Raw genomic sequence first — 20,027 nt, 5'->3', positions numbered from 1 at the left:
TTTTATTGCTCTCATTGTAGTGAGTTTTGCCTATTCTTGGATTTCTTATAATGGGATTATCCAGTCTGTATCCTTCTGGATCTGCTTTCTTTCACTTAAAATAATATTTGGAAATTGATCCATGTTGTTGTGTATGTCAGTATTTCACTCCTTTTTAATTGATGAATAGCACTCATTGTCTAAACATATGACAATGCCATTGTCTTTTTTCTTGTTGATGGACATTTGAGCTGCTTCCAATATTGAATTATTATGAATAACGCCTTTATGATAGTATTGTGTTTGTCTTTCAGTAGACATATGTTTTCAATTCTTTTGAGTAATACAGGAGTGGGTTGCTGGGTCATAGAATAGATCTATGCTTAACATTATCAGAAAAAAAGAAAGAGTTAACCAAAGTGCTTTTAACATTTTACTCTGCCATAAGCAATGTATAAAAGTTTTCATTATTCCACGTTTGCCAAGATTTAGTATTACTGACATTTTTTAAATTTTATTTTAGACACGTTGTGCGCACATAATGGTGTTTCATTTTGGTTTCAATTTGTGTGTTCCTGATAACTAATGATGCTAAGCCTCTTTCCAGGTGATCAATCTTGTGATCAACACTGGTAAAGGGTTTCTTTTTAGTACTTTGTCTACCTTTCTATTGGGTTGTTTTTTTTCTTGTTATTCATGTGTAACAGATTGAGAACATCCATATGTCCTTTATGCAAGTCCTTTGTCCTAGCTGTCTATCTATCTATCTATCTATCTATCCATTTATCTATTTATCTATCTATCTATCTATCTATCTATCTATCTATCTATCTATCTATCTACCTACCTATCTATCAATATTTTTTCCAGTCTGTGGCTTGCTTATTTTTTTCTGGTTAGTGGTTAAAAAACAAAATTATTTAACTATCTCTAGGTTACAAAGATATTCTGTTTTGTTTTCTTTTACAAGTTTGGAGTTCTAGCTAATGCTGGAATTTATAATCCATCTTAAAATTAGTATTAGTCACTGGAGTCAGATATGGAGTGACAATTTTTTTTTTTTTTTTTTTTTGCCTGTTTTTGAGATGGAGTCTTGCTCTGTTGCCCAGGCTAGAGTGCAGTGGCATGATCTTGGCTCACTGTAACCTCCGCATCCGGGTTCAAGCAATTCTCATGCCTCAGCCTCCTGAGTAGCTGAGATTACAGGCATGTGCCACCACGCCTGGCTACTTTTTGTATTTTTAGTACAGATTGGGTTTCGCCATGTTGACCAGGCTGGTCTCGAACTCTTGACTTCAAGTGATCTGGCTGCCTTGGCCTCCTGAAGTGTTGGGATTACAGGCATAAGCCACCATGCCCAGCCTGTTTTGTTTTTTATTGCTGATTTTTGCAAGGGGTTTACCAATATTTTAATTTTTCAAAAGGATAAACTTTTGAATATTTGGATTTTTCTCTATTTGACTTTTATAGAGTTTCATATAAAGGGAATTTTATGTACTCTTGTCTGTATCTTAATAATAAGTCAGAGCACAATTAATATAATAATTAATAATAAGATACAGTATAATTATTATGAGATGCATCCATGTCGTCATTAGTATTCATTGTTGGTTCCTTTTTATTGCTTAGCAGTATTCCATTGTATGAATATACTACAGTGGAAGGACATTTGGGTTGTTTCTAGTTTTGGGCTATTATGAATATAGCCACTGTGAATATTTGAGTAGAAATTTTGGTGTGGATATGTGTTTATATTTTTCTTGAGTATATATCTAAGAATAAGATTGCTGAGTTGTATGGTATTTATATTTGTGATCATTTTAGAAATTCACGGTTTATTTTTTTAAGTGATTTTACCACTTTACAATCCCACCAATAATGCATGTGAATTCTTGTTGCTCCACAACCTCATCAACAATTAGATCTGCCAGTCTTTTAAAATTGTAGCCATTCTAATGCGCATACAATAGTATACCATTGTGAGGGGTTTTTATGGTGTGTGTGTGTGTGTGTGTGTGTGTGTGTGTGTGTGTGTGTGTGAGACAGGGTCTTACTCCATCACCCAGGCTGGAGTGCAGTGGCATGATCTTGGCTCACTGCAACCTCCACCTTAGGTTCAAGCAATTCTTGTGCCTCAGCCTCCTGAGTAGCAGAGACCACACATATACACCACCACACCTGGCTAACTTTTGCATTTTTAGTAGAGATGGGGTTTCCCCCTGTTGGCCAGAATGGTCTCGAACTGCTGACCTCAAGTGATCTGCCCACCTTGGCCTCCCAAAGTGCTGGGATTATAGGTGTCAGCCACTGCACCCAGCCCACGGTTGTGGTTTTAACTTATATTTTTCAGGTGATGAATGATGCTGAGCATATTTTCATTTGTTTATTGACCATTTATTAATGGTGTCTTTGGAAGAGCAGTTAATTATTTTAATGAATTACAATTTATCCAACTTTTATGTTTTATACTTTTTGAGTAACATGTCACAAAACTCTTTCTCTAATTAGTTTTCTTCTGGAATTTCTAAAATTTTACTTTTACTTCTAGGTCTATCCTTTATTTTGAATTAGTTTTTGTTTACAAGGAGAGGCTAAGGTTGAAATTCTTGTGTTTTCTTAGGAAGGACCAGTTGTTCCAGAATTATTTGTAGATAAAGTTCTTATTTCTCAATTAAATTACCACATCCTTTCTTTAAAAATCATTTTCAGTTTCATGTTCCCTAATGATTAATGACGTTGAGCATTTTTTTGCCATTTTTACCTCATTTGCCATTTGAATTATCTTTTTTTGAAAAGTGTCTATTCAAATCTTTCCCCATTTTTAAAATTTAAAATATTTTTGTCTTCTAATTTTTGAGTTGTAACAGTTCTTAATGCCTTCTCGATATAAGTTATTTCTCAGATACATATTTTGGAACTATTTTCTCCCAGACTGTGGCTACTAACAGTGCCTTCAAAAGCAATGTTTAACATTTTTATGAATTCCAATTTATTGAAATTTTCTTTTTGTGTTTTTTGATTCTTAAGAAATATTTGCTAAACATAAGATCATTAAGACTTTATCCTGATTACTTCTAGAATATTTACATTTTTAGCTCCCACATTTGTTTTCTCATCTATTCTGTGTTTCTTGTTGAGGTAGATAAAGATTGAAGTTCATTTGTAGATGGCTCTCCAATTGTTCCAGCAACGTATCTTGAAGAGATTGCTTTTCCTCTACTGAATTGCCGTGGCAGTTTTGTTGAACATCGATTGACCACATATATGCGTGTCCATTACTTGATTTTCTATCCTGTTTCATTGCTGAATATATCTTGTTTTTCCAAACCATGCAGAATCAATTATTCTAGCTTTACAATAAGTATTAAAATTTTAAATTGGGTTTTCCTTGTTATTTTTAAAGCTGTTTTAGTTCTTTTAGAAAGTTGATTTGCCAATGTAGTCCCACTACATTTTCATATAACTTACAGAAACTATTTTTTTAATTTGTAAGGGAAAAAAAGCCTGCTGTTCATTTTGATTGGGATTGTATTGAACCTATAAATTAATTTGGGAGAGAATTTGTTATAGGACCAACAGGTTCATATACCTATCACACAGTAACAGACCAATTACCCTGAGACAGTAAGGTTTGCAGCAAAGAAAGAGTCTAATGATCACAGGGCAATGAGTGAGGTCATGGGAAAAGACCGTTAAATCAGCTCCCTGAGGATTTCTGGGCTGGAGTTTTTAAAAGGATCATGGAGGGCAAGGGACTAGAAAATTTGGGTCATTGATTGGTTGGGGTAAAGGAGATGAAATACTCTGGATGTGGAAACTGTATTATTTTGTGAGTCAGCTCCTGTGGGGTCCTTCAGACCAGCTGACATCATTAGTTTCATTGGTATGCATGACCTGAAAGAATGTCTCAGATGGAAAATGTAATGTTTTATAATGTTCAAGATATTATCTATAGAGTAGATAAGGGGAAAGATAATCTTGTAATAGGATCTCGATGATTTTGAGGCAACAGTCACCAAACAACTCTGAGGAAGCAGGTCAGAGAGCACCTGACTTAGTGATTAATGCTAAATGTGCTGAAACTTGTAATAAATCTTACATATTTCCTGTCATATTTACCCTAAGTATTTTTTATATGGACTTGATATTCTACAACATGGTATATCAATTTATTTCAATCTAAAGTCATTTATTAGTTCTAATAGCATTTTTGTTGATTCCATAGGATTTTCTACATAGGTAAATGTTGGCTGAGGATAGTGTTAGTCTCTTCATTTTTAATTTTGATATATTTTATTTTTTTTTTCATCTTATTGCACTGATTAGAACTTTAGTACAATATTGAAAAATACTGATGACTATGGATATCTTTGTCTTTTTCCTGATATTAAAAGGAAGAATTAAGTCTTTCATAATTATGTGATGTTAGCTATGGAGTTCTTTCAGGGATGTCTTCTACCAGGTTAGGCAAGTTTTTTTATTTTCCAAATTTTCCAAGAGCTCTTTTGTTTTTTGTTTTCAGACGTAAATGATGGATTATGTGAAATGGTGGTATGGTTTGAATGCTCCCTCTAAAATGCATGTTGAAATTTAATCCCCAATGCAGTAGTATTGAGAGTTATGGTCTTTAAGAGGTGATTCAGCTCTCCGGTGCGTGCCTCCAAGATGACAAAGAAAAGAAGGAACAATGGTCGTGCCAAAAAGGGCCACAGCCACGTGCAGCCTATTTGCTGCACTAACTGTGCCTGATGCATGCCCAAGGACAAGGCCATTAAGAAATTCGTCATTTGAAACATAGTGGAGGCCGCAGCAGTCAGGGACATTTCTGAAGCGAGCGTCTTCGATGCCTATGTGCTTCCCAAGCTGTTTGTGAAGCTACATTACTGTGTGAGTTGTGCAATTCACAGCAAAGTAGTCAGGAATCGATCTCATGAAGCCCACAAGGACTGAACACCCCCACCCCGATTTAGACCTGTGAGTGCTGCCCACGTCCCCCACCAAAGCCCATGTAAGGAGCTGAGTTCTTAAAGACTGAAGACAGACTATTCTCTGGAGAAAAATAAAACGGAAATTGTACTAAAAAAAAAAAAAAAGAGGTGGTTCAATTATGAGAGCTCTGTCCTCATGAATGGATTAATTTATTTGTGGATTAATGGATTAAAGGATTTATGGATTAGTGGGTTACCATGAGAGTGAAACTAGTGAATTTATAAGAAGAGAAAGAGAAATCTGAGCATAATACATTAGAATGCTCAGCCCCCTTGCCATGTGATGCCCTGCATCAACCTGGGACACTACAGAAAGTTTAACTACAGGAGCAAGAAGACCCTCACCAGATGCAGTGCCTTACCTTTTGACATTTCAACCTCTATACCTGTAAGAAACAAATTTCCTTTTTAAAACAAATTACCCAGTTTTAGGTATTCTGTTATAAGCAAAGTAAGACAAATGGTCTCTTCAACTGTAGAGATGATCATTTGTTTCTACTTTGTTAATACGGTGAGTAATATTAATCACATTTTAAAAATTCAACCAATATTTCCTAATAAGATAAAAAGATAGACCCCACTTGGCAATAGTTTATATTTTAAAATATTGTTAGATTCTATTAGCTAAAACTTGTTAATAATTTTCACATTTATCGTTATTGTTAACATTGGTCTTTTGTTTTCTTTTTAAATAATACTTATATTTTCTGATTTTTATGTCAGAGAAGTGCTAGCCTTATTCACTGCATAGGGAGGTTTTATTTTTCTTCAGTTTTCTGGAAGTATTTGTATGGAATTTATATTACTCTTTTCTTAAATGTTTGATATAATTTACTAGTGAATTTATCTGGGCCTGAAGTTTTCTTGGTGGTAAGATTTTTAACTACAAATTCTATGTCTTTAATATGGAGTCTTTTTTTCGCCTAATTTATCTTTAGATAGCTTTAGTAGTTTGTGTTTTTCAAGTAATTTTTTCATTTTAGCTAGATTGCCAAATTTGTTGCCATTGAAGTTCTTCATAATATTTCCCTAGTGTCTTCTTAACTGTAGGATCTGCAGTGATGTTCTCTCTCTTCTGGATAATTTGTGTCTTTTTTACAAATTAGTCTGGCTAAAGGTTTACCAATATTTTTGATCTCAAAGTAACAGGACTTGGATTTTTTTCTGTTTTTAATTTCATAGATTTCTGTTCTTTATTATTTTCTTTTCTTTGCTTGCTTTTGTTTCATTTTGCTCTGCTTTTTTATTTTCTAGAAGTGAGAGCTTAGATTATTAATTTGAGACATTTTTTCCTAAAAGCTAACTGTAAGCATTTAGTGGTATAAATCTTACCCTCAGCACTGCTTTAGCAGCACCCTAAAACTTGTTTAAAAATTGCATATAATGGAAGTTTTGCTACCAACTACTTCTTTCAGACTTTTCGGCTAAAAAATATATTTTACCTTCACATTTGTAAAATATTTATTCTGGGCAGAGATTTCTAGGTTGACAAATTTTTCTTTTAGTATTTTAAAGCTTCTGTTCACTATTTTCTGGCTTGCTTTTTACTGACAGGATATGTTATTTTATCCTTACTATAATTCTTCTGTTCATGTGTGTCTTTTTCCAAACTGCTTTTAAGATTTTCCCTTTATTGCTGGTTTTAAGTAATGTGATTGCCTTGTTCCTTGGTGTAGTTTTCTTCATAATTATTGTGCTACTTTTGTCCACCTTCTAATGTTGACAGTGATTGAGAGTCCTTGGTTCTTGTTTTCTTAGTTTAAACTAATTTAAATAAGAGACACACTGCAGTAGAAAAATAGTAGAAAGCAGTTTATTGCAAAAGAGAAAGAACACTCTAAAGCTAAGTGAAGATACATTTGAAAAGATAAGTTAGGGCTGCTCAAGAGGTAAGTTAGCAAAGACTGGCTCTGAGGAGACTCCCTTTATTGGGGTCTTAAATGGTTATTCATAAGGAAGAGAGAGGAGGTGTTACTAGTAAGTATGTTTGGGGTGGTCCTCTGGGTGCATACGCTCAGTTGCTGTACATGCTTGTTTATACATCACATGTCTTATTAGCATTTTAAATCTGCACCCGGTGGGTATGTTTTTTACTATTATAATCAGCAAAGGATCAGTCTGAGGACAAGTCCTACTTGGATGAGCTTGACTATAATGTGTGAGCGCTGGAACTCTTTGTGTTGATAACGTGGTTGCCACATTTGCCATGTCCCAAGGAAATGATTACTTGCTTGACTACCTATCCTGCCTCATTTAGATCTGTGGGTTTATAGTTTTTGTCAAATGGAAAAATATTGATCATCGTTTCTTCAAATATTCTTCTGTACATCCCTTACTCCCCTTAGATGATTCCAATTACACATAAATTAGGCCACTTGAGGTTGTCTCCCAGATCCCTCATGCTCTGTTCCCCTTTTCAGGCTTTTTTTCTTTGTATTTCATTTTGTATAATTTCTATTGCTACATCTTCAAGTTTACTAATCTTTTCTTCTGCAATTTCTAATTTGCTATTAATCCCATCTAGTGTATTTTTAATTTCAGACTTTAAAAGAATCTTTTGAAACTTGATTTTTTCCTTCTTATATCTTTATCTCTCCTAACATGTTTAAATATTTCTATATCTTTTTAAACATATAGGTAATAGTTATAACTTTTAATGCCTTTGCCTATTGATTTTATCATCCATATCATTTCTGTCTGTTTCTATTGATTGCATTCTCTCCTCATTATGAATCACATTTTCCTATTTCTTTGTATGGCTGCACTTTTTTTTTTTTTTTTTTTTTTTTGAGATGGAGTCTCACTGTGTCACCCAGGCTGGAGTGCAGTGGCACGATCTCGGCTCACTGCAAGCTCCACCTCACGGGTTCATGCCATTCTCCTGCCTCAGCCTCCTGAGTAGCTGGGACTACAGGTGCCCGCCACCATGCCCAGCTAATTTTTTTGTATTTTTAGTAGAGATGGGGTCTCACTGTGTCTCCCAGGCTGGAGTGCAGTGGCACGATCTCGGCTCACTGCAAGCTCCACCTCACGGGTTCATGCCATTCTCCTGCCTCAGCCTCCTGAGTAGCTGGGACTACAGGTGCCCGCCACCATGCCCAGCTAATTTTTTTGTATTTTTAGTAGAGATGGGGTCTCACTGTGTCTCCCAGGCTGGAGTGCAGTGGCACGATCTCGGCTCACTGCAAGCTCCACCTCACGGGTTCATGCCATTCTCCTGCCTCAGCCTCCTGAGTAGCTGGGACTACAGGTGCCCACCACCATGCCCAGCTAATTTTTTTGTATTTTTAGTAGAGATGGGGTTTCACTGTGTTAACCAGGATAGTCTCGATCTCCTGACCTCGTGATCCACAGGCCTTGGCCTCCCAAAGTGCTGGTATTACAGTTGTGAGCCACTACGTCCAGCCATATGGCGGGACTTTTTTAATTGGAATTTTAATTGTAACAATTTACCTTTTGAATATCTTATTGAATTCTTATAAATATTCTTAAATTTTTCTCTAGGGTACAGTTAAGTTTCTTGTAAACTGATTATTTCAAGACTTATTTATAAGTTTGATAGTTGAGATCACAGAGCCCTTTAAGCTTAATTTTGCCCTACTATGGAGGTAATACCCTTTTGAGTATTCTACTGGAGTGACACAACTTATGAAGATTTTTTGCTCTCTGGATAATAAGAGCATAATCTTGTGTTGGCTCTGTGGAAGTTCCAGAGATTGATAGCTTTGCCTCTTTCAGATGATCTCAGCCTGTTTCTGTGGGGAACCTTGACAAATACACTTAGGTAACTTTCTCATATACATGTGCTGATTATTACTTAGCTGAACACTAGAGAGGAAGCCTCTGTAGACCCACTTGTCTCTTTTCATGGTCTCTATCTCTCTGGTGAAATTCTCCATCTTTTAGAGTATATGTCCAACTTCTCTCCTAGATTCATTAAAATATTTGTCTATGTATATCTTAAAGTCCTTTTTGTGATTTCAATATCTAAGTACTCACTGGGTCTACTTCTATTCTTTGTTTCTCTCTTGACTAGGGAATTTCATTTTCCTGCCTCTCTGTGCATTGTTAAATGGTATGCATGAATTATATGTAAAAGAACAGTAGAGACTGAAGTACATATTATCTCCCCAATTGGACATTCTATTTTTCTGGTAGACTGCAGTTTGTGATGATTAAGCTAATTTAATCTCTAGTTGGTCTGGGTTTGGCCTTTGTTGCAACTTAGATTTAGTTTACCACTAACTTCAAATGTTTTGAGAGCAGAATCAGGACTACAATTCTGGCAAACTTAGTATCTGAGCTCTTAAGAAACTGTATTTCATTGCCAGCTTTCTGAACCTTGAGAAAATTTCATTTTCAGGAAAGCTGCCAGCCTTTTTGGGTGACTAGGGTGTTGTCTTTGGTCTCCAGTCTCACCCTCAGATCACTGTACCTTGGAAGATCTATTTCCACTCAGCTATCCTTACACTAGCCTTTGAAGAGAAGCTATCTTACATACTGTATAGGTCAGATGCCTTGGAGGCATTTTTATCAGGTCACTTTTTCTGTCCACATTGTTCTGAAGGTTGCTGCAGTATTCCTGAAGATGGTCTTGCATGCCTAAAATGAAGGACCACTCTCAGCTTTCCTGCCTTGCCCTAATCTTTTAGAATATTTCCCCTCATATGCAATGAAGGCTCAAGAGAAAGTTAAACATTTGCTAAAAGTTTGACTTGTTTCTTTGTATCTCTATTTCTTGTGGATTCTTCCTCATCCTGCTGCTCTACCGGAAATGAAATCGGTTCCTTCTCTCTTAAAAAGAGCTTGCCAACTTCTGAAATTTTGTGGGGTTTTTTTTCCTTTCTTGTATTTTTTGCATTCTTGTCTCTCTAATGGACTGGAGAAAACCCACGAATTTTGTGGCTTATCTGGCTTATTCTCATTATTAAGACGAGAGGAAGACGATCATGACTATCATTCCACCAGGCATGAGAGCCATTGTGGGACCCTTTTGTCATCACTTTGAGGAGGTTGCTTTGCATTCTCAGCACTTCAATGTGTTTAACCACAGCCCTCCCACACACAAACACACACAAGCTATGTTTTTGTAGCATATGTACCTTGTTCTCCTTGTTAATGTAGGAGTGATAGTCCTTTGTGACTTTTTACATACTAGCTAGAAACAGTACCATTTGCATTGCATATACCCAAATGTATGTTTTTCTTACCCCCAAATAAACTATTAGCCCCTTGAGGATAAGCAATGTAATTTTTAGTCATTTAAATTTCCCATAATGCCTAGTAGTTACTTGATACATATTTAAAATGAATACTTCACATGTTATCAACTTATTGGTGCCCAAGGAAACCTAGAACTGAAAGATAAATATCTTATTTACAGAGATTACTAGCAGAGCTATAATCAAGGTGTAGATCTCCTGGCTCTCAATAATTTTTCTCTTGTATTGTATTTGATTTGTAATCATGATATTCTACGTGGTATGTAGCTCCAAGCTGTTATATCATCATAAACAACATAATTGTCCTCATCTTGTTGGTTATAACTTTTCAATAATTGGTCATGTGGTCAAGAACTCCAATAAAAATGTCAGATGGCACTAGAGTCATTGAGAGAATAAAGTATGTAAATGCATGCATACACACAATTTTAGCTATAGACTTGATATAGAAATATATGTATGTACATCAGCTTGTATCAAATAGAGTTAAATGGTTGAAATAGCTTTAATATGCGTAATTTAAACTCTTGCCTTCCTTTTTATAGCAATTTCATTTTTAATGTTTTATATTCCATTTTCCTTCTTTTAATCTTGCTTTTCTGATATGCAATCCTATCTCAAACAAGAAGGCTATTACTGAGCAGGCAAGTAGTTCTTTAATTGAAACACTTATGGGGCACACTAGAAAACTATAAAGACTTTCAAGAAATAGCAAAACTTTAATAGGTTCTTGTGTATTCGTGTTGTAACCTAATTCAGTGCTCTTTCAGTATGCCGGAGGATGTTGCTAATTTATGGCTGTGATGAGCAATAAAGCAATAATAGTAATCGAAAGGTGCAATATTCCTTGTTTAGGGGGCATTTATGGTTATGTATTAAAACTATAAGTACTTCAAGAGGCTGTGAAACTGATCTATAGAAAATGAAAGATAAGATCTCACTGCCTTCTAAAAGTGCTTTTCTAGCAGAAATCTGAGCTTGACTTTATGGTTTATAAATATAAACAAAGCAGAAGTGAAATGTTCAACGTGTCTACCCATCCAAAGGGACCACTTAAATAACCACTAGCACTCAAACCTAATAAGGGCTGGAAAGTTCCTTTCTTTCTTGTTTTATTTTTTAACTTTCTTCCCCTTATACCTTTATAAAAATTGTTTTTCCTCTCTCCTTCATATCTTTTACACACTTAATCCTCTTTCTCTATTTCTGGCTTCTCTTTTCTCCCATCTTTCCTCGCATTGCTTTCTATATCCACATTGGATAAAAAGAAGCAAACTGTATTTAGGTGGAACTAAGATCCAGAATGCAGCTCTCCTGGCTGACGGCCCCAGGACAATAGGTAAGTATAGCCATAGGTAGGCTGAGTCTTTTCTGAGCCTTCTCCTCTTAGTTGGACCAGCCCCAATCTCCAGTCTACCTGTCAAAGCAATCCTTAACATTAGTGCCTGTTCTGCAAAACTATTCAATATCTTTGCCTCTTTTGTTCTTACCTTCACCACTCTATGTTGTTCTTGTGCCCATCAATCTGGATTTCTGGACTTTTACCTTGTATTTAATATTCGCTTCTGGCACTTATGTTTGGTGGCCCATCATGTGCCTTTTAAAAAAATCTTTCTGGATTTCTGTTATCTAAATACATAATTTTGGCTTCCTCATACCTCTGGTCCCTACCTCACTTGTCTCTGTGCCCCGGATTCCTCAAAGAAGGGGGTTAATGCACATAGGTCAATTGATTTCTAACCTAACCCAGAGCCTACTTATTCTTTAAAGTTGGGGTCAGGTGATTCCTCTGGTTAGGATCCATTCTCTGTACTCCCACTATTTTCTACATACACCTCTGCATTGCACTTTTCAGATTATATCTGAGCATGTGTCTGTATAGTGGCTCCTCAGATCTGTGGCCCTTTATCTTTAGTCCTGAGGAGTCCCTGTTTGATGATGATTCCAGAAGGATTATCTTTACGCAAGAGAGAGATATGACCAGAGGAGGTTGGGTAAGAAATCTGTCTGTTCCAGCTTTTCCAACACTTCTTTATCATTCGAACCGCCAGGTTATGAGCTCTGTTTTATTTCTCAGGGCCTGACTACCATGATCAGTCCATAAATATAAGTGAAATGATTAATACAATGATCAGCTTTACTTACCTAACAAATATTTATTGGTACCAGGCAGTATTTTCAGGTTCTGGAAAGCTAACAGTAAACAAGTCAAGTCCCTGCCATCATTAGACTTATATTTCAGTGGGGCATCTATATAACAGATAAACAAATTCATATAAAATAAAATGTTGTGAAGTGATAAGTGCTATAGAGAAGAAATCAGGATAATGGATTGAGAATGACAGGGTGCTAGATAATCAAATTCTAAGCATGATGAAACCTATTGGCACTCTACCAGTCTGACTCCCTGACACAAAATAAGGGAGCCATTGTTTTCTAACTTGGGGCTTTTAATTCCATTTTCTATACCCCTGGCTCTTCCGATGATGAAGTATTAGGAAAGCTGGAACAGACATGTTCCCTACTCAACCTCTTCCAGTCATCTCTGTCTCTTCCATAAGATCCTCACTGTGTCTGCATCAGTCAAAGGCGGGCCCATGGATATTTCAGAACATACATACTGGACTGTGTTATGATGAGAAAAACTAGGGGCCAAATTCTGATAATCAAGACTTTTTAATAATTTTTCTCCACCCAGAGTAGAAAAACAAGTCTTCCCCTAGGAAAACGGAGGCTTGACTGTATCTCTCTCTAGTGACAGGTTGAGAAAAAACACCAATGGCCGTATCTCCCAAGAAATCATGCTTAGATGCTCCAACTCTTTTCAGACCTTCCAAACTATGATGGCATCACCTTACCTATTCAGCATTACCTCTGGGCTCTTCAACACACATTCTTTGTATTTCTTGGTGGTTCACTTCACTGACAAGCAACACAGCATGTTCCTTCTTGTCCCTGGGACAAGGGCTCAGTAGTAGGGCTCAGTAAGAAGAACATGAGCCTTAGAGTCAAAGACATTTGTTTTCCTACCTACTATCAGCATTTACTGTGTGGCTTTGGTAAACATCTTAACCTCTGTGGAACTATAACAAGGATAATAATACATCTTCTTCCAGTTCTTCTGAGTACTAAATGAGGCATTGTATACATGTAAATCACTGAGCGCCATGTCTAGCACATAGTCTCTTCTTGTCTTACTGGGACCCAGTGTGCCCCCTTCCTTCATCTTTTAAGACCCAACTCTAGGCCCATTTCCTATAACCTCCATAATATAGGTTAATATGTAACTTATAGGTTACATATAGGTTAATATGTAACTTATAGGTTACATATAGGTTAATATGTAACTTATAGGTTACATATAGGTTAATATGTAACCTATATTACATATAGGTAATAGTTATAACTTTTAATGCCTTTTTCTATTGATTTTATCATCTGTATCATTTCTGTTTCTTTCTATTGATCGCATTCTCTCCTCATTATGAATCACATTTTCCTATTTCTTTGTATGGCTGGACTTTTTAAATTGGAATTTTAATTGTAACATTTTACCTTTTGAATATCTCATTAATTAGGTAAAGACTGATCTGCTGGACTCTAGTTTCCTCCTCCTTTAAATATCTGCAGCACATGTGGTTAGTACCAACAAACATACCACTTAACAATTTCCTAGCTTGAGTCTTTTACAAATTGTTTCTCTAAGAACAGGGACACCTTACTCTTCTATGTCATGGTAGTCCCTAGCACAGACCTGGAGCACAAGCTCATTGATTAAAATAATAGGACACAAACCATGTCAGTTTTTTTTCTCAAGGGTGTCTAGATTTATTTTGACTCAAGTGAAATGAAGCATTCCTTTGAAACTATCTAGATAATATAAACTATTGAACCCCAGAGACTTGCTTTCTAAAATAATTAAGGCAAAATGAAACCCCCTGTTTTTTTCTGGCACATACATTGATTCATCTAATGAACACAACATTACTCCTTCTTAGCTTTACCAAGTATATCTATTTTCTGATAGAGACTCTGAGGGTAAGTAACCAGGCCAAGATTATACAACGAATTGGGTAAAGAGAGGCCACGTTGTATAAGAAGAGTCAAAGCTAGCAACTCTGATCCCAGACCACAAACCATGCCTTTTCCTTTATGCAGCCCTGCCTCTCTCTCAGTTTATTAACTTCTTATAGTTAGACATTATCACTGTTTTCTCCCCATACCCAAATCTCCATACTCCAAATGCCTAACTGGTCAGCATTAAAGATATGGCACATTTAAGGCCGCCTATTGTTTCAGAGTCTTTTAAGGTTCATTCTTCGCTTTCCCAGTAGAAGCAAGTACAAAACAAAACAAAAAGAGAAAAATAACCCATGTTTCCTTATACTAGAGGCCATTTGCATGGTGTTTCTGGACTTCTCGTTCCTGAGAATTCTCCAGATAGTCATTACTTACTCTCTCCTTCTCTCTCTATCAAGAGAAGGGAAACTAGCAGAATGACAGTATTTTTCTGTTTTGAAAGTTCAAAGCCACTGGTTTTCTGTTTGCTTTCCCACTCTGTTAGATATATCCCTAGATACTGATGGGAGAAGGACTGTCAGAGGTTTAGAGATAAAGAGAAAGAGGAAGAAAGAGAGCAGTGCAAAACAGTGGTTTGAAGGACGACACAAACCTAGGCTTATTTCAAAAGAGACAGCCACAATGTGCTAGCACTTATGGTGACAACAGAGCTGACAGGATGGGACTTTCTTTTATCTTTTTTGTGTTTTCTTCATCTGCAAGGCATGGTGTTGTGGAAATGTCTCCCAAATGCTGGGGAATAAACTGAGGTTGTATTAGTTAGATATTGCCGAGTAACACATACACACACAACTCAGCAGCTTAAAAATTAAGCATTTATTATTTCTCATAGGTCTACATGTCAGCTGGACGGTCCTGCTGATCGGCTCTAGTCTTTGCTCAGCTGGGCTTGCTTAAGTATCTGTGGTCACCTGGTGGAGAAGCTCTGGACTAGCTTCTCACATGTATGGCTGTCGGCTAGTGTGATGAGTGACTGGGCCATGTGTCTCTCATCATCCAGCGTTCCAGTCTGGCTTATTCTCATGGGTTAAGCACAAGTCCCTAGAGAGAAAGGAAGTTGTCAAGACCTCTTGAGGTCTAGCCTCAGAAATGGCACACCATCATATTTTTTCATTCTATTAACTACAGCAAGTCAAAGACCAGCCAAGATTCAAGGTATGGGAAAATAGGCTCCACCTATTGATTGAAATGGATACAAGGTCACACTGCAAAGAACATGAATTCAGGGAGGAGCAATGACTTGCAGCCAGTTTTGTAGTCTACCATAGTCTTTCTTCTAGCCACAAGTATTTCTCTCAAGTTTCAGTCCCTTTCAGGACCTCCACCAAGATCTTGTGATTGACATCATGTCTGGATGCAGCTGCTTATAATCCACAGCCTCTGAATATAAAGACAGGTTATGTCCCCGAAACACAAAAGATACAATGATGAAGAGGAATAAAACGACTACAACAAACACTTCCACTCAAAAAAGGGACATAACAGAAGGTAAACACCAGGAATTGGTTCATAGCAACTCTTAAATCCTCCTGAGTAAATGTTTCTAGGCCTTTCACTCCAGACATGGGGAGAGTTCCTTGATTAGACCTCACTTCTGCTCCCTGGAAGTGGCTTCTCATTTCATTGTTCTCCATGGCTGTTGGCTTTTCCCTTGGCGGCAGGAGGGAGAGGTCTTTCCATTTCTGTAGCATTCCTTATGAATTTGAACAACTTTCTCAACTTGCTTACAGACTACCATAGAAAAGATTGTGATAAACTGATTACAAAAATGTATGCCATTAAAAATTAAGGTCAATTTTTATACCACTTAAACATGGGCTTGGTCTCATGATTTGCTTTGGACAATACAAGGCAGCAGAAATGATGGGTGTGTCAATTATGATGCTAAGCTTCAAGAGGGCTTCTCCTGGACACCGGTGAACACCCCCAGGCCAGCCTGCTAGTGGAGCATCAGCGACCACATGGAGGAGGGTTCTCTACATCAGGCCATCCTAGACCAGCCAACCCACAACTGACATGCCAGTTGACTGTATACACATGACTAAGGCAAGCCAAAATTAGCCAGACCTAGTTCATAACACAAGAACATCCATCAGACCCATAGCTTCATGAATTAAAATAAATGTTTGTCATTGTGCACCCAGGGGTTTTGAGGTGATTATTGTTGTTGTTATTGTTATACAATATTACTATGGCAATAAATACAGGACGGGGTTTCCTTAAATCAACTACTGGCCTCCAAGCTCAGCTTGTTTCTTGGTCTGAGTAGCTGATGTCTGCCCATGACTGGTGCAACCTGAATCTTGTGTTGTCCTCTTTTCTATTTTATCTCTTCCCACCTTTTGTATTAAAGATATGAATTTTATTCATAGCTGTTACTTTCATCTTTTCTAATAACAACCAGCCAGGTGAGGAATACAGAACAGGCATTCATTTCACTGATGGAAACATTTCTGCTCAGAGAGGTTAAGTGATTTGTCTGCTCACAGAGTTAGAAGCCAAATAGAGTATATATTATCCTATGCTAATAATGTTTAATTTTTTGTTTTTTAGAAATGGGGTCACACTGTGTTGCCTAGGCTGGTCTCAAACTCCTGGACTTAAATGATCTTCCCACCTGAGCCTCCCAAAGTGCTGGGATTATAGGCATGAGCCACCATGCCCAGCCAATCTTTAATTTTTTTAAAAATTATACTATATCATCTCATCTTATCTCTCCTGCCTCACCTCCTGTCTTTTCTGCTTAAATCAAAAGAGGAACTGTAGTTTGGATAACTGAGCTTCCATCTGGAAATCAGACCTAAATTCTAACAAGCCTGGCTGGGCATGGTGCTTCATGCCTGTAATCCCAGCACTTTCAGAGGCTGAGGTGGGAGGATCACTTGAGACTAGGAGTTGGAGACCACCATGGGCAACAGAGTGAGACTCCATCTCTCCAAAAAAAAAAAAAAAGTTGCTTTTTATGCAAATTAATTATGTCTTAGAAATCTGTCATCAACCCTATCTGCTATTCAATGATATTATAAGGTTGAGTGGATAACAGAAATAAAAACCTCCCTTTAACTGTGATTGTAGAGGGCAGAACCATGGATACAAGCACAAAGGGAAAGATTCCAGGTTAATTTAAGATAGAGATTTGTAACCTGTCATTGTGAGGGTTCTGATATTTGGTGGGTAGGTAAGCTGGATGACCTTTGAGGACCCTGTCAACTCTAGGAATTAATGACTATAATGCACCAGTTGTTTAAAAAAAGACAAAGATGTCTATCCATCATCTTATCAGGGCAGCTTAGCTACTGTTCAAAAGAAAGATTCAGTCAGTCACTATTGAAATGCTCCCTTACTGAAATGTTCTCATAATCTTTTGTGATGCCATTCTGGTTTTCCTGATACTTTTTTGACTATTTCGTCTCATCCTCTCTCTGTGACTTTATTTCCCCCATGCAAAGTACCTTAAATATAGACGCTTTCCTAGGACTCTGATTTAGCTTCCTTCTTTTTAATCTCTATGTAGCTTTATGGGATTATCCACTGCCACAGCCTTTCTGCCACCTACATGCTGATCATACCTAGGTCTTTATTTCTGGTCCTGTGGTAGTCATTACTGCTATTTGCCAAATATTTCCAGCTCTCCTTCCTTCCAGGAGGAATGCACTCCTGGCTCCCTGAAACTAGGTGTGGCCACTGACTAGTTCTTTGCAGAAATGTCAAGTGTCACTTTCTGGTCAAACATTTAATCACCAAGACAAGACCTTCCAGACCTCTCTTTTCCCTCTGGCCCAATAGCCAATGACTTTCAAAATGGTGACTGCTCTCGCAGCTTGAGTCTGCGAGTGGCTGCAGTGAGCAAAACACTCTTGCTGACCTACAGTAGATAGTAGAGTAAGGAAGAAATTAACTTTGGTTATTTTAAGCTGCTGAGATTTTTATTTTTACTACATCATAACCTAGCTTATCCTAACTGATAAAAGCCATGGCTTCTGTCTCTTGAGTTTCAAATCGCTATGTGACATCACCACCTAACATTTCCTTTTGGATGTCAAAAGTGTACTTCTAACATTGAATCCCAAACCAATATCACCAACGCACGATGAATCAATAATCTTTCCCTAAGCTCTGCTTCTTCACTTTTCTTCAATTATACAGTGTTGTTACTATTATTTACCCAACCAATCAAAGGACAAAAAATTATTTTGTAACCAATCAGCTGTGTTTGCGTTTATCTCTGTAACATCTTTCACACCCAGGCTGGTCTCTGACAACTATTGCTGTTCTAGTTCAGGTCCTCAATACGTCTGAGTGAATGATTGTATCTGTCTCCGAATGTGCTCCAGCCTCACATTCTAGCTCATTCCCTTAAAAAACCAAAGTGAACTTTCTTAAAATCAAATATGACCATAACTATTCTGCTTATTCATCCTTAATATTTCCTCAGGGCCTTCAGATAAGGTTCAAATTGTCCAACATGGTCTACAAAGCTCTCTACTGTTCCAGGAGCACTCAAGGGGGAAGGACAGGAAATCCAGGTAGAAATTACACCATGGGAAAAGAGCAGAAACAAAAAATGATGATGCTTCATAAGGAAACTGCAAGCAGATGGGCATGACATTAGCAAGGGACCAGTGGAGGGTGGAGAGAGAGAGAGGAAACTAGAGAGGTCCCTCTAGTTTCTTTGTTTATGCTTCATTCTCTATCTAAATCATACTTGCTCCCCCTCCCAGTCCTTACATCCTCACAGGAAATACCCATTGACTTTTCAAATTTTTATCTTGAATTCCCATCACTATGAGGCCTTTTCTGCTCACAATAACACTTTATCAAGCTTATTTTTTTTTTTTCAGTATTCATCTCCTTCCCCAAGCTGGGAGCCTCCTGAGGGTAAAATCAATTCATTTCTGCTGTGAATTCATTCCTCAGGAGCCAGCATAATAGCTGCCACATACCAGTTACTCAATATGGTTGTTGAATGAATAAAGGAATGAATGAATGGGTACCCATCTTTAGCCTCTCTTGGCTGCCTCATTCACTATTCAGAATGGGTTGCTTAAAGTTCCAGCTACAGATGGATAAGAAAGAGGGGCTATTTTTGCTTTCCAGTCTTCTGTCTCCATGTTATCAACCCACCCTCCCCACAGTGCCAATCTCTGCCTATAATCCTGTCAGCAGCCAGATGCTTGGCACCAACACGGCCAACTCAGCAGTTCTCCCCACACATCCCTGGGGGAAGTCATTCACCTTATCACCAAAGACAGAAAACGCCCATCTGTTACAGCTCTGAGTTAGAAGTCTCATAATAGTATCAGCACACAGTCTGCATATCAGATTTCCTTGTTTTTAGGGAGCACTTAGAAAGATTTTTCTCTCCTTTTATTGTTGTTTTCTTCCCAGCAAGTGACCATATTTCATCTCCACCGAGACACAATGAAAGAAATTTCCAAGCAAATTTGTTGCCTAATGATTCCAGAGAAGGTGCCTAGAACCACAAATGTCTTCTTGAAAATCTGTAGAGGAGCCTAGCTCTGTAAACTTTTTAAAATTAGCACATAGTAAATGTACAATTCTTGTGCTGGGTCAATACCCGAAATGAAGGTGATAATGGCATCAGGGCTCCCAGAATAAGCATCATTCCAGCACAAAAGGTTTCAGCCTTGGGAAATTGACTGGAAGGTTTCCAAAGACATCAGCAAGGGCAAGGTTGAAATTACATGGCAATTTCTCAAACATGAACCCGTGGGACTTCTAAGTGTCTCAGGAAACT

The 20,027-nt window shown here is 37.4% G+C and overlaps 1 long non-coding RNA gene and 1 pseudogene across 9 annotated transcripts in view, besides 2 other annotated features; both read left to right on the top strand.

Annotated features, from left to right (window-relative positions):
* Nucleotides 1–20,027, top strand: part of LOC105372892 (uncharacterized) — a 57,069-nt gene that overhangs the window by 26,073 nt on the left and 10,969 nt on the right. For 2 of the 9 annotated variants that reach the window (XR_007066862.1, XR_007066861.1), the window contains exon 3: nucleotides 18,705–18,795. The exons of 4 other annotated variants lie outside the window; for them this stretch is intronic. This is a non-coding gene — a long non-coding RNA (uncharacterized LOC105372892). Of the gene's footprint in view, nucleotides 1–9,200; nucleotides 15,758–18,704; nucleotides 18,796–20,027 lie in introns of those variants that run through there. 3 more of the 9 variants (XR_001738435.2, XR_001738434.2, XR_001738432.2) reach the window with 2 other exon arrangements.
* Nucleotides 1,296–1,465: an enhancer, noted in NCBI's record as "experimental_2254 CRE fragment used in MPRA reporter constructs". NCBI's record gives its function as "activates a minimal promoter by MPRAs in K562 erythroleukemia cells, with activity observed for both the introgressed and non-introgressed 1:208874308 variant alleles {active_cell/tissue: K562}" and the evidence as "EXISTENCE:reporter gene assay evidence [ECO:0000049][PMID:34662402]".
* Nucleotides 4,362–4,531: an enhancer, noted in NCBI's record as "experimental_2240 CRE fragment used in MPRA reporter constructs". NCBI's record gives its function as "activates a minimal promoter by MPRAs in K562 erythroleukemia cells, with activity observed for both the introgressed and non-introgressed 1:208871242 variant alleles {active_cell/tissue: K562}" and the evidence as "EXISTENCE:reporter gene assay evidence [ECO:0000049][PMID:34662402]".
* RPS26P13 (ribosomal protein S26 pseudogene 13) lies at nucleotides 4,623–5,060 on the top strand (annotated as a pseudogene).

The sequence above is a fragment of the Homo sapiens genome, chromosome 1 (assembly GCF_000001405.40).
Source record: "Homo sapiens chromosome 1, GRCh38.p14 Primary Assembly".
In the NCBI taxonomy this organism is placed as follows: Eukaryota; Metazoa; Chordata; class Mammalia; order Primates; family Hominidae; genus Homo; species Homo sapiens.
The sequence above is the reverse complement of the archived record's forward strand: the minus strand, read 5'-3'. Positions and strand labels throughout refer to the sequence as shown.